General features: G+C 44.7%; 3 protein-coding genes and 1 pseudogene across 42 annotated transcripts in view, besides 2 other annotated features; 2 read left to right on the forward strand and 2 right to left on the reverse strand.

The window, feature by feature from the left end:
* CLHC1 (clathrin heavy chain linker domain containing 1) overlaps nucleotides 1-8,393 on the reverse strand; it is a 60,017-nt gene extending 51,624 nt beyond the window's left edge. For 7 of the 17 annotated variants that reach the window (NR_148542.2, NR_148539.2, NR_148538.2 and 4 more), the window contains exon 1: nucleotides 8,066-8,123. The gene's annotated coding sequence lies outside the window, so the exon portion shown is untranslated. Of the gene's footprint in view, nucleotides 1-3,861; nucleotides 4,035-5,159; nucleotides 5,303-8,052; nucleotides 8,124-8,321 lie in introns of those variants that run through there. The other 10 variants (NR_148541.2, NM_001353785.2, NM_001353779.2 and 7 more) reach the window with 5 other exon arrangements.
* On the forward strand, nucleotides 527-671 carry CDPF1P1 (CDPF1 pseudogene 1; annotated as a pseudogene).
* On the forward strand, nucleotides 7,733-11,683 carry RPS27A (ribosomal protein S27a). Of its 3 annotated transcripts, none has more exons than NM_001135592.2 (6): nucleotides 7,733-7,938; nucleotides 8,638-8,702; nucleotides 9,193-9,247; nucleotides 9,949-10,034; nucleotides 10,661-10,792; nucleotides 11,258-11,683. In NM_001135592.2, the coding sequence occupies exons 2-6, from the start codon at nucleotides 8,655-8,657 to the stop codon at nucleotides 11,405-11,407; spliced, it is 471 nt and encodes a 156-aa protein (NP_001129064.1). In that variant the 5' UTR covers nucleotides 7,733-7,938; nucleotides 8,638-8,654; the 3' UTR covers nucleotides 11,408-11,683. The 3 variants fall into 3 exon arrangements, with proteins under 3 accessions (NP_001129064.1, NP_001170884.1, NP_002945.1); NM_002954.6 differs by lacking the exon at nucleotides 7,733-7,938 and adding an exon at nucleotides 8,518-8,538; NM_001177413.1 differs by lacking the exon at nucleotides 7,733-7,938 and having other exon boundaries at nucleotides 8,508-8,702.
* Nucleotides 8,168-8,597: an enhancer, noted in NCBI's record as "active region_15777". NCBI's record gives its function as "activates an Ori minimal core promoter by ATAC-STARR-seq in GM12878 lymphoblastoid cells {active_cell/tissue: GM12878}" and the evidence as "EXISTENCE:reporter gene assay evidence [ECO:0000049][PMID:35858748]".
* Nucleotides 8,618-8,797: an enhancer, noted in NCBI's record as "active region_15778". NCBI's record gives its function as "activates an Ori minimal core promoter by ATAC-STARR-seq in GM12878 lymphoblastoid cells {active_cell/tissue: GM12878}" and the evidence as "EXISTENCE:reporter gene assay evidence [ECO:0000049][PMID:35858748]".
* MTIF2 (mitochondrial translational initiation factor 2) overlaps nucleotides 12,425-13,786 on the reverse strand; it is a 32,654-nt gene continuing 31,292 nt past the window's right edge. For 16 of the 22 annotated variants that reach the window (XM_047444424.1, XM_047444427.1, XM_047444423.1 and 13 more), the window contains 2 exons: nucleotides 13,118-13,258; nucleotides 12,425-12,650 (listed from right to left, as the gene is read on the reverse strand). In XM_047444424.1, coding sequence (XP_047300380.1) covers nucleotides 12,478-12,650; nucleotides 13,118-13,258 — 314 coding nt within the window. In that variant the 3' untranslated portion in view covers nucleotides 12,425-12,477. The remainder of the gene's footprint in view (nucleotides 12,651-13,117; nucleotides 13,259-13,786) is intronic. The other 6 variants (NM_001321001.1, NM_001321002.1, NM_001321005.1 and 3 more) reach the window with 1 other exon arrangement.

Below are 13,786 nucleotides of genomic sequence, written 5' to 3' on the forward strand. Positions count from 1 at the left end.
ACAACTTGATACGCCCTTACACACAAGGCTCAGTTCAAGCGAAGGGAGGTCACAGCCAGGAGCCAGGGGCCAGCTGATAATGTACTTGATTCCACAGTCAAAGGAGCTGGATGGCGTCCCATGCAGAGTGCCGTCCTCTGGGAGTGTTTGAGTGTGAACTCCACGCCTTGACAGCTCCCTCCTGCTACTTGGGGCAGAAGCTCCCCCGACACCCAGTGGATGGTCCTCCTGGAGGAAAGCTATGTCACAAAGGATCCCTTCACCTCCGACAATGTCAGATTCCTGGTCCTTAGCTGGCGCTGCAGTTTGTGCAGCAGGCTGTGTGGCCAGTGTACTCGGAGTGATCCTGGAGTCTGAGAAGTCCCTGAGCATCTGCCACAGGGCGACATGCACACAGGGGAGCTGTATCAACAGCCAAGGGGGATGAGATGGGCCAGGGCGGGAGGAACCCCCGCAGTGCGGCGTTGGGAGTGTCTGAGGCGCATGGAGGAGCTGGCGGTCCAGGAGAAGCTGAGAAAGGAAGACTGGAAAGGAGTGCAGTTTATTCTACTTCAAGAGATTCTGCCTCCCTTGTGTCCATGAGAACATCAGTGCTTTTCCTCAGGAAATTCAGCAAGACTTGGAGTAAAGCTCCGTCAAAGAGGCCCCCCAGCCAGCCCGGTTCTCGGACATTGAGTGCAGCCGGGGCTGGGTCAACTGGCAGCACCCTGCACGGAGCTCCTGGGCCAGCCTGCGCCAAGGATGCTGCTGAGCCAGGAGCCGCTGTGCCCAGCCTCTTTTCTGGACCACTGCGAGCAGCACTGCAGCCCAGGGGAGCTGGAGTCCAGCTTGTAGCAGCCACAGGCCCAGGGAGCTGTGCCGAAAAGGTAGCCCAAAGGCAGACAGATGCCAGACCAGACAGAGCCGGGAACCCGGCCAGGTGCCCCCGCATGACCCTCGGGGCCGAGGCCTAAGTGAGTGCTGCTCAGATGTGACTAAGAGGGATGACCTCCTTCAGCGAGAAAGCTCCTAAGAGGCCACCTGCAGGTCCGTGTGGGGGAAGACGCCATGCTGTCTCGGGACCATGGCGCAAGGTAGGTGGCTGCAATGGTCTGTAAGGAAAATCACTGACAGCAGCTGCCTTCTGGAGCCAATCTGGAAGGTCTAGAGCGGGATAGAATTACTTCCCATCCTTATGTGATGCTTGGAAAATGGTTTAACCTTGATCATGTACTATGTTTATAATTAAAAATCCAAAGAACCAGCTAATGTTTGAAAAAGGAATCTTCCACTGAAACATCTGGGTACCTGACATTCTCCCAGGGCACTCTGGACCCGGCAGTGGTTGGGGTCTCCCGGGAAGCTGAGTGCTGGCTTACAGCCTCTCTGTAAGCTCTGGCTTCATCTCGGGCCCCTCCAATCTGTCTCCCCTGACCCCAAGTCAGGAATGCTGTGGGCTTCCTGCCCTCACCCCGCACCTCATGACCGTCACGCTGCCTGCCTGCTTGCCCCCTGCCACCTCGAATTCAGTCCTGGATGCCTTCGAAGCCCAGCCCCACTGCGTGCCAGGGGGTTCCTGCAGCATCCCCTCCTCCAGGCTCCCCATCTCCCTGAAGCTTCCAGGTAGCAGTTGGTGGGGCACTGATCTGTGAGCTCTGGAATGTCTGCTTAGATTTCTGAGAGGCAGGAACTGCTGTCTTTGTAAGTACTCAAGGCCAACTGTCACGTGATGAAGGAATGAATAAAGAATTTTTACTGAAAGGCCGGGAGCGGTAGCTCACGCCTGTAGTCCCAGCATTTTGGGAGGCCGAGGCGGGCGGTTCACGAGGTCAGGAGATCGAGACCATCTGGCTAACATGGTAAAACCCCGTCTCTACTAAAAGTACAAAAAAATTAGCCGGGTGTGGTGGCGGGCGCCTGTAGTCCCAGCTACTCAGGAGGCTGAGGCAGGAGAGTGGCGTGAACCCGGGAGGCGGAGGTTGCAGTGAGCCAAGATCGCACCACTGCACTCCAGCCTGGGCAACTGAGCGAGACTCCATTTCAAAAAAAAAAAAAGAGAAAGAGTTTTTACTGAAAAAAAAAAAATTGTCCAACTGAAGTTGGATACAGAAGTTGGTGCCTAAGATTTAGTCACATTAACTTCAAACAGAACTCTTGGCTTGCTTAATAATGGCTGGCAAGGCAACATCGTAACTTTTTCCCTAATTACAGAAGCATACTCCTGGTATAAAATTCGGAAAATATAAACCAGACAAAATTAATGAAATAAATATCTATTTAATATTTTGGAATATTTCCTTCCAAACATTACAAAACTTGAAATTAAACTCTATATTCAGTTGTGCATCCCATTTTTTTCACTTAATATTAAAAGCACTTTTTCATGTTGTTAAATCGTTTTTTAAAACATGACTTCTAAAGCTTACACAGTATTTCATAGTATGATGTTCCATTAATTTATTCCCCCATTGTCAGATATTTTCACTATTTTTGTTTTGTTTTGAGACAGTCTTGCTCTGTCGCCCAGGCTGGAGTGCAGTGGCACGATCTCAGCTCACTGCAACCTTCACTTTCTGAATTCAAGTGATTCTCCTGCCTTAGCCTCCCGAGTAGCTGAAACTAGAGGTGCAGGGCACCATGTCTGGGTAATTTTTTGTAATTTTAGTAGAGATGGGGTTTCACCCTGTTGGCCAGGCTGATCTTGAACTCCTGGCCTCAAGTGATCAGCCTGCTTTGGCCTCCCAAAGTGCTGGGATTACAGGCATGAGCCACTGCACCTGGCTGCTATTTTCACTAATATAAACAATGCCATGATAAGTAAGTGTCTCAATCAATTGTATCATGTTCTGGCAATATAACTGATACCTGATTATGTGAATAACATATACAGCCTGTAAATACTGCCCATAGCCATATACAGAAGAGGAGACACCAAAATAATTCTGAAGATTAAAAGGCCAAAATTATCTTCATGTTGATGAACTGGATAGCAAAAAGTCAATTTATGAATTAATATAAAGTAGTTCCAGCAAGGGAATAACTCATTAATTAATCAAGTTTTCCTAAATGAGAAATACATTTGTTTATTCATTCATTCAGTCAGTATTTATTGAGTGTCAACAAAGCACCAGGCACCATTTCACAGCTAGGAATTCGGCAATAAGTAAGATAAGGTCCCTGGCTCCTTGAAGCTTATGATCTAGTAGGGGAGACAAACTATAAATAAATAATTTCAAATAGTAAAAGATAACCAGGCGCGGTGGCTCACGCCTATAATCCCAGCACTTTGGGAGGCCGAGGCAGGCAGATCACGAGATCAGGAGTTCAAGACCAGTCTGACCAACATGGTGAAACCACATCTCTACTAAAAATACAAAAATTAGCTGGGAGTGGTGGCACACGCCTATAATCCCAGCTACTCAGGAGGCTGAGGCAGGAGAATCACTTGAACCCAGGAGGTGGAGGTTGCAGTGAGCCGAGATTGAGCCACTGCACTCCAGCCTGGGCAATAGAGCAAGACTCCATCTCAAAAAAAAAAAAAAAGTAAAAGATAAAAGTCAAAAGAGGAAGAAACGGGTGTTATCATTAGAGAGGGGGTAGTGACATTTGGACACCAGTGGCTTCCTACCGTATTACCCTTAGGATAAAATCCAAGTTCCTTTACTTGGCCTATTAGTGCCCTTCAGAAACTAATGACTCTTTTTCTTTGACCAAATTTACTCTCTTCATGTCCCTGTCCTTTGCCCCATATCCCCATTCCCACACCCATGAACTTCCTCTCTTACCTTAGGATCTTACATAATTCTCTCCCCCTCCCTGCAGACCATCCTCCTATATTACCCCCAACCCCCAAAACACATACATACTATCACTTTGATTCACCTGGCTTTTACTCTTTCTTCAGCTTCAGGAAAGCTGTCCTGGATTCCCTTAAAATTGGTCAGATGCCACTGCTATGTTCTCCCATAATACTGTGCACTTCCTCCATCATGGTATTATCCTTCCACCACACTGCCTTAGAGACTTCCTGTTTATATTCTGTCTCATCTGTTAGGCTGTAAGCGTGACAAGATCAGGAAACAAAATGTTCTCTTTCCCCATCATCCCTCCTCTACCATATGCATTCAAGTGCATAATGCAGTTTCTAGCAGAGCAGTACTCAAACATATGTTTGCTGAATAATCAATAATCACTGAACAATAATCTAGTCTATTCATAAGACATTGGACTTGTGGTGCTCTCAAACCAGAACACAGCTAAAGGGATTGTTCCTTAACATCTACAAAATGCCATTGAGTTACATAAACCAACCAAGATTACCATTCATTCATTCATTCATTCATATTAGACATTTAGGGATGTGTTGACAAGTCACAAGGGTTCCCAGTCAAGTGTTCCAGGTCTAGTAAATGAGCCACTGCTACAAAGCAGAAAAGGCAGTGTGACAGAGGTAAGCACAATAGGCTACAGAAGGCCAGAGGGGCATCTCATCAGCCTACGGAAGGGGGCAAGGAAACATTAGGGAAAACATCTAGTAAAACAAAATCTAGGGCAATGCTTAAGTTGTGCTACATTTATTTATTCAATATTTGGGGGACACCTATTGTTTGTCTGCCATTATTCTAGACAATGGAGACACAGTATTGAACAAAACAAAGTCCCTAATCTCACAAAGGTTACATTCATGTAGAAACAGACAACACACAAGAAAAAAAATAGTCCAGGCACAGCGGCTCATGCCTGTAATCCCAGCACTTTGGAAAGCCGAGGCAGGTGGATCACTTGAGGTTAGGAGTTTGAGATCAGTCTGGCCAACATGGCAAAACCCAGTCTCTATTAAAGAATATAAAAATTAGCTGGGCGCAGGGGCTCACACCTATAATCCCAGCTACTTAGGTGGCTGAGGTATGAGAATCATTTGGACCAGAGAGGTGGAGGTTGCAGTGGGCTAAGATCATACCACTGCAATCCAGCCTGGGCGACAGAGGGAGATTCTGTCTCAAAAAAAAAAAAAAAAAAAGAAAGAAAAAAATTATATATATATAGAAATATAGTATGACAGATAGGGGTTAAGTTGTATGAAGAAAAATAAAACAAGGTATGGGGGATAGAGAGTAAGGAAGGTGGGAGGATACCATTTTCTATAAGGGCAGTAAGTCAGGAAAGACAAAAGAGCTTACTGATAAGGTGACATTTCAGAAATCTGAAAATAGCAGGTCATGTAGATTCCTGGGAGATGAGTGGTTGAGGCAAAGAGAGTAGCCAGTCCAAAGGCCTCAGGGTGGGACAACACATTTGAGGAACAGCTAGAGGGCCCGTGGGGCTAGAAGAGAATGAGAAAGGGAGAGAAGAGATGAGATCAGAGAGGTAACTGCCAGATTATGTAGCATGTAGGGTCTTGAGGGCAGAACTACTATCAGCCTAGGGGGTACCTTTGTGCGGTTTAGAAAAAGAGGTCCCTTTCTCTGGGCAGACTTGGCAAGAGGAGCAACACTGGACTGTGGCCTCTACTTGTTCCAGCACTGGAGCAACAGCCTCACTTGTAAGAATTTAGGCTTTCCTCTGAGTGAGATTCGAAGCCTTTAGAGGCCTGTGTGCAGAAGAGTGGGAGAGCTGACTTAACATTTTAAAGAATTGTTCTTGGCCAGGCATGGTGGCTCATGCCTGTAATCCCAGCACTCTGGGAGGCCAAGGCGGGCAGATCACCTGACGTCGGGAGTTCCAGACCAGCCTGACCAACATGGAAAAACCCTGTCTCTGCTAAAAATACAAAATTAGCTGGGCGTGGTGGCGCATGCCTGTAATCCCAGCTACTGGAGAGGCTGAGGCAGGAGAATCACCTAACCCGGGAAGCAGAGTTTGCGGTGAGCCAAGATTGTGCCATTGCACTCCAGCCTGGGCAACAACAGCGAAACTCCATCTCAAAAAAAAGAAAAAAAAGAATTGTTCTTGTTGCTCTGTGGAAAACAGATTATAGGACGCAAGGGTCAAAGCTGGAAGTGCTGTTACGAAGCTACTGCAATAATCAAGGCAAAAGATGATGGTGGCTTGAATCAGGGTGCTAACAATGGAGGTGGTAGGAAGTGTTCTGCATATATTTTGAAAATAAAGCCAAGATCTGCCAAGGTAGATAAGATGTGGGATATAAAAGAACAGTCAAGGATAATCATAAAGTTTTTGGCCTTAGTGACTGGAGAAATGGGAATTGCCATATATAAACATGGGAAGAGCAATTTCATGAGATTAAGTGTTTGGGGCCTGTCCATTAGAGATGTTGAGTAGATAGCTGGATATGTGAAGATGAAGTTGTGACATATCTGTGACATATCTGGTCTGACAGATAAGTTTATGAGTCATTTGCATATGATGATACTTTAAAAGTTATTAAACAAAAATGAGATAACCAAGAAAATGCAGACAAAGCAGAGGTCCAAGGACTGGGCCTTGGGGATACTCCATGGTTAGAGGTCTTGCAGATCAAGAGGAAGCAGCAAATGAGCCTGGAAAAGAGCCTCCAGGGTGGCAGAAAAACTGAGAGGTGAAGTCTTTGAAAGGTTTTCAAAGAGAGATGGAATGAGCAACTGTGTCAAATACTGCTGACAGATCAAATAAGATGAAATGACCATTGAATTTAGCAACATGGAGGTCATTAGTGACCATTACAAGAGCTATCCGATCAGAATGGTGGGGACAAAAGCCTGACAGGAGTGGGTTCAGACAACGGAAGGGAAAGATTAGAGACAATATGTACAAGCAACTCTAGGAAATTTTGTTGTAGAGACTAGTTGGCGGACTAGGGGATGAAAAATGTTCCAGGAGGCAGGGCGTGGTGGCTCACGCCTGTAATCTCACCACTTTGGGAGGCCAAGGAGGATGGATCATTTGAGGTCAGGAGCTAGAGAACAGCCTGGCCAACATGGTGAAACCCCATCTCTACTAAAAATACAAAAATTAGCCGGGTGTGGTGGTGGGCGCCTGTAATCCCAGCTACTCGGGAGGCTGAGGCAGAAGAATTGCTTGAACCTGGGAGGCGGAGTTTACAGTGAGCCGAGACCGCGCCACTGCACTCCAGCCTGGGCAACAGAGCGAAATTCCGTCTCACGAAAAAAAAAAAAAAAAGTTCCAGGAAGAATAAACGACTGGATTCTTCAGAAATGCCAAAACACGGGAGGGCATAGGTCAGGAAATTAAATTAGCTTCATTTACTAAAATGTAGAGTAATGGGTTTAGCAGATTAGGTTGTAAGGAAGGCAGAGGCTGAATGTCATTCTAAGAAATTTGAATTGTATCCTGAAGGTGAGGTATAAAATAATAACACACATTTACCTTTCAGAATGAATATTTTGGAGGCAATAGTGAAGGTGGGTTAGAAAGGAGGAAAGACTGGAGAGAGATAAGGAGTTAGATTCGGAACCCCTACAAGAGAAAATTAAGGTCTGAATTTGGGGATGGGGTCGCAGAGGGCAGAGGATGAAGAAATAAATACAGAAGACATTAGAAAGGACTCTGGTTTGTGGAGTGGAGAAAGGACAGGGAGAACTTGCTTCTAATTGGCCTCCTTGCCGGAAGAAGCACCCCATACATACTCCAAAAACTTCCTCTCAGATCCAAGACTCCCAATGCCCAAATTTGGAAATTCTACAACTAAATAACCATTCTGCAGGTTTCTTTTCCGTACGGCTTCACTTTAAAATTTGAAAACTCCTGAGATTTTTCAACATATTAAAGCGTGTCACACTAAGGAGTGACACACAAGACCCAGACTCTTCCCTAGGCTGGGAGAGACTCGGCGGTTGAAAGCAGGGAGGCGCTACAGGAGAGAAAGGGCTGAACCCCCGCTTCCGCAGATTTCACCTATTTTTCAGTTTGCCTGGAGCAGGCCACGCAAATTCCCTTCCCTTGAAGGCCCAAGGAGCGTCTGGTAGATTGCTGATTCTCTGCCCATCACCGCTTCTGGAAGTGAGTGAAGGACACCTTTCGTGCCCCGCACCCTTTGCCCCCCGCTTAACATTTGCTCTAGTCACTTCCGGCCCGTTCCCACGCTCCGGAAACCATTATTCCGCTTCATCCTACCTCCAGTCCTCACCTGAGTCCTTTTCTCCAAACACCGACTTCAGTGCTTAGAGATAGTAACTAGGGAATCTGGGAGGTGGAACTGCATCTTGGGACAAGTAGTCCAAGGTAGAAGAAAGCAGTGGAGAACTACAGTTCCCAGAATGCACTTCCATTTCCTACCTCTTCCCCAAGAGGCCCCCCTCGACCTCCTTTTAAAAATTCTCTTAGCCACGTTGATTGTACGGGAAAAGCCTTTTTAAAACATCTTTTACGTTGCTTAAACCTACAGTTTCGAAAGCATTCCGAAGGCTAAAGTGAGAAATAAGCCCAGGCTAGGGAGAGGAGAAACGAAGTTCACGTCCTAGTCTGGCACCGGGTTGGATTGTCGCTGGGACGGCAGTCAGGCATTTGGTGTGGTCGCCTAAGGGGTGGGTCCTTCGGCGGGAGCTCCGGGAAACCCCGTGGGCCTGCGCGGCGTTCTTCCTTTTCGATCCGCCATCTGCGGTGGGTGTCTGCACTTCGGCTGCTCTCGGGTTAGCACCCTATGGTGCCTTCTCTTGTGATCCCTGACCTAACCTGTCTCTTCCTTTTCCTCAACCTCAGGTGGAGCCGCCACCAAAATGCAGATTTTCGTGAAAACCCTTACGGGGAAGACCATCACCCTCGAGGTACGGGCCGGGTGGTCATGAGGAAGCCAAGGTCCGAATAAGGTCCTGAGGTGGATTTTAGGACCGGCGCTGCTTTCCATGTCTTAGACCATGATTCCGAATTTGGGTTCTAAAACTTAAGCTTTGAAATGAGTACCTTTTGCTGAGCAACGACCTAGAGGTGATTTTCGGTGGCCAAAGGCTGGACCTGTCTCCTCTCGAGGGGTTCCAGCTAGTTAGTTAAAACGGAGGAGCTGCGGTGGGGAAGGAGACGCTCTGCCCGCCGGGTGCGAGCACGTGTGGCCCTGCGGCCGCCGCCCGCTCTGGGCTGGGGAGATGAAGGTGCTTTCCGGTAGCCGACTTGGGAGGTTGCCCACTGGGTGGGTAATAGGTCTCTCGAGTAGGTCTCAGCCCTGTCGCTGGTTCGGTTCAGTGGTAATTGTCAAACTAAATGAGTTCTGCTGTAGTTCCTTAATGTGTAACCAACATGCTTTCACTTTAACACTCATAGGTTGAACCCTCGGATACGATAGAAAATGTAAAGGCCAAGATCCAGGATAAGGAAGGCAAGTAGTATTTTGTAGTTAAGAAAACTTAACCTGCGGAGACTTCGGCCTACCTGTAGGTGCTAGACATACCTGCTCTTGGTGATGGGGGAAGGGGTCAGATTGACAAAGCGAAATACTTGTGGAATAACACAATAGACATTGGTGATCGGGGAGCACAGTACCTAGATTGGAATCCTTGAGGTGTATTTCACTTGCGTGAATTTGGACACTTATTTATTTATTTTGTGTGAGATGGAGTCTCCTCTGTCGCCCAGGCTGGAGTGCATTCGCTTGTCCCGGCTTACTGCAGCCTCCGCCTCCCGGGTTCAAGTGATTTTTGTGCTTCAGCCTCCCTATTAGTGGGGATTACAGGCGTGCACCACCATGCCTGGCTAATTTATTGTATTTTTAGTAGAGACTGGGTTTTACCTTGTTGGCCAGGCTGGTTTTGAACTTTTCACATCAAGTGATCTGCCCACCTCGACCTCCCAAAGTATTGGTATTACAGGTGTCAGCCACTGCAGACAACCAAGTATTGTCCCTAATATTAAATGCGGTAAAATGTGACATGTAAAGATTTAGAACCATGCCTAACCTCTAGTAAGGGCTTATTGTCAGCCTTTAGTATCATGTATTTGATTAAGGGGTGTTACCTTATAAGTCTGGAGCACATCACAGGCTTGGTGTGCTGTGACTTAATTTTTGTTTTTTGTCATTAGGAATTCCTCCTGATCAGCAGAGACTGATCTTTGCTGGCAAGCAGCTGGAAGATGGACGTACTTTGTCTGACTACAATATTCAAAAGGTCTGTCTAGGGGAAGAGCAGCCTCTTTTAAAAAAAAAATGTTATTTTGGAAATTTTTTATTTTACTTTTTTTGAGACAGGCTCTGACTCTGTCACCTAGGGTGGAGTGAGTGGCGCAGTCACTGCAACCTCCACCTCTCAGACTCAGGTGGTCCTCCCACCTCAGCCTCCTGTAGTTGGAACTATAGGCACCCGCCACCATGCCCAGGCTGGTCTCAAACTCCTGGGCATAAGTGATCTTCCCACCGTGGCCTCCCAGCGCTGGGATTACAGACGTGAGCCACTCCATGTGGTGTATTCTGGACATTTTGACACACAAAAAGGGAAAATGGCATTCGAATAGCAGTAGATTTTTAGGTAACTCCTATACTGATACTTGAGAAGCACTGCTATAGTTCTCCCATTATGAATTTTGCAAGTTGTATCCCATGGTGTAATGTAATGCATTCTTTAATGTCCCTATAAACTGTCAGTTAAGAATCTGATACTTTATTGGGTTTGGGGGCTGCAAGATTCCCTCAAATGTTATTGTGTGCTGCTACTGCTTTTAATTAGAAAATGCATAATGTTGGGTGTGCCCATTCTTAGTGGAATCATGAAAGCTTGCTTCATTCTTCCATTAACAGGAGTCTACTCTTCATCTTGTGTTGAGACTTCGTGGTGGTGCTAAGAAAAGGAAGAAGAAGTCTTACACCACTCCCAAGAAGAATAAGCACAAGAGAAAGAAGGTTAAGCTGGCTGTCCTGAAATATTATAAGGTGAGCCAGTTAAAGGGCAGAATGTCAGCAAAGTCTTGGCTTATTTGGAAAACTTAATCTTTATAGTACTTGTCAATATTTTCTTGGACTTAAACACCCAATATTATCCCACTTTGGTTTAAATGAGGTATTCTGGAAATGAGAAATTCAGACTTTCTGGGGTTTTTCCTGTTTGGTATTTGAAATCAGTTATGTAATAGGGTTCTGAGTTTAAAGTCGGGTTTGGGTTCAGGTCTTTACCTTTGTCTACCACTTGCAAAGCTGGCCTTTAGTGTTCAAAAGTCCCAAGACTTCTGAATGTTTTCATTGTAGCAATGATAACTGGTGAGAATTTAGGGTGCTTTGGTTTGTAAGCACCAAAACCACCAGTATTACACAGTTAAAAGCTTAAATATTTTGAGTCACTTAAATTAGACTTCAGAATGTGTTGTAAAATTATCTTAACAGCAGGTTTGTGCTTTTCAGGTGGATGAGAATGGCAAAATTAGTCGCCTTCGTCGAGAGTGCCCTTCTGATGAATGTGGTGCTGGGGTGTTTATGGCAAGTCACTTTGACAGACATTATTGTGGCAAATGTTGTCTGACTTACTGTTTCAACAAACCAGAAGACAAGTAACTGTATGAGTTAATAAAAGACATGAACTAACATTTATTGTTGGGTTTTATTGCAGTAAAAAGAATGGTTTTTAAGCACCAAATTGATGGTCACACCATTTCCTTTTAGTAGTGCTACTGCTATCGCTGTGTGAATGTTGCCTCTGGGGATTATGTGACCCAGTGGTTCTGTATACCTGCCAGGTGCCAACCACTTGTAAAGGTCTTGATATTTTCAATTCTTAGACTACCTATACTTTGGCAGAAGTTATATTTAATGTAAGTTGTCTAAATATAAGCCAGTTTGTGTTTCTGTCCATTTCTTGACCTCAACACAACAGACATTTGGGGCCAGGTAATTCTTTGTTGTGGGGTGCCTGTAATCCCTATGCTTTGGGAGGATCACTTGAGTGTCCAGGAGTTCAAGAGCAGCCTGGGCACCATAGCAAGACCCCCATCTCTGTAAAAAAAAAAAAAAAAAAAAAAAAAGTAGGCTGACTCCTATGGTCCTGCCTACTGGGAAGTCTGAGACAAAAGGATCCCTTGAGCCCAGGAGTTGTAATTAATTATGCATTGCATTTCAGCCTGGACAAAACCCTGCTTCCAAAAAAAACAAAATGCATCCTCAGTCTCTGGGTGTTTCAGTGGAATGCTTGCTGTCTGTTGTACAACGCTTGGGAATTTAATGTTTGTTCAGGATGGATCCCTATAAAGGAATGATTACTTATTTGTACTGTTAACAGTAAAAGACAGTTTAGTTTCAAGCAGGACTGGGGTAGCCTATCTTCCTTCGGAGCTCAATTCAGGGAAAGCTGGTTCACTTGATAAGCCTCTTAACTAAAGCATACACTTGAAAGAAATCGGTGATGTATAAATAACAATTCACTTTTACCATATTGCCAGTCTTTCCATTCAAGGATTTCTAGTTGGAGGCATCCTTAAATAAGGTTTCCTATTTCTGAGCACTTTGACAGTTTGTGCAAATGCATATGAACACATGGTAAAACAACTTAGATACTTTTTGGCCAGTAGTAGTGCATTTCTACCTTCAAACAAACAACACGTTGAGTTATTTACATTTTTAATGTAATTTTAAAATCCTGGATCCCAAGAAGTCTTGGCTTGAATTTGCTTTTCTTCATAACAAACAATTCTGTCTCCCACTTGAAATTCCATATTGTCTTCATCTAAACTGAGACCACAATCCATTCCCGTTTTGACAATTGAAATGTCATCTTTATGGTGTTTCAATGAGGTTAATGAGCCTTAAAAAAGATAATTTAAGGTTAGTATATTCAATAAATGATAAGTACCTACTAAATACTACATTATGTGGTGTTAACCAGGAAATTACACTGAAATTCTTAAAAATTTTATGGTCTTGTCAAGTTAAATGATGGGACTAAATACCAGGGGAACCCCCTCAAAAATGAAGTTTGCTGTGAATAAGACTTGATTTGTAACAAAATAACCTAAATCTCCTATTTCAAAGGTAGACATAAACTTTTTGCTGAGGACAGGATGGTACTCAGGACTTGAATGGGTAAAACCAACATACATCTCAGGCAAAGGGAACCCATCAACTACAGACAATTTAGGGGTTTCAATAGCAATAAGAAATGGCCTGAGCTGAGATTATGGGCATGAAAGATGAACAGATTTCAGATGGTTATATAGTCAACAGGTCTTGGTGACTGGATATGCTATTATAGGAGATTTTGATGTTGCTTACCCTTCCAAATTACATGTCCATTACGGGTTAGTTTAAATTTTTTTTGTTTTTCTAACTGTCCCTTTTGGACTCTGCAGCCAGCCACAGGAACTTTTTTCTTCCCTTCTGTTACAGAGAAGGTAGCTAGTATAGATGCCTCACCTTTAGGAAGAAGAGAACATTAATGTGCAGAAAACTAAAGATTCTGATAAATACGTAATTTCTGACATTCTGTGGTATAAGAATTAAAGGTATGACAAAAATCCAAATTCATGCCTAGAAAAAAGTCTGGGTTTCTTTAACTCCAATTTTATTTTCCTGACCAATATTAAGAATAAAAATGAATGAAAATCTTTGGCTATTCTTTTCCTTTTCTTTTTTTCTTTTTTTTTTTTTTTTTTTGAGACAGAGTCTCACTCTGTCATCCAGGCTGGAGTGCAGTGGTGTGATCTTGGCTCACTGCAACCTCCACCTCCGGGGTTTAAGCGATTCTCATGCCTCAGCCTCCCGAGTAGCTGGGATTACAGGCGCCCACAACCACATCCAGCTGATTTTTATATTGTTAGTAGAGACGGGGTTTCACCATGTTGGCCAGGCTGGTCTCAAACTCCTGACCTCAAGTGATCCACCCACCTCAGACTCTCAAAGTGCTGAAATTACAGGCGTGAGCCACTGCACCCAGCCATCTTT

This window comes from Homo sapiens, chromosome 2, assembly GCF_000001405.40.
Source record: "Homo sapiens chromosome 2, GRCh38.p14 Primary Assembly".
Taxonomy (NCBI): domain Eukaryota; kingdom Metazoa; phylum Chordata; class Mammalia; order Primates; family Hominidae; genus Homo; species Homo sapiens.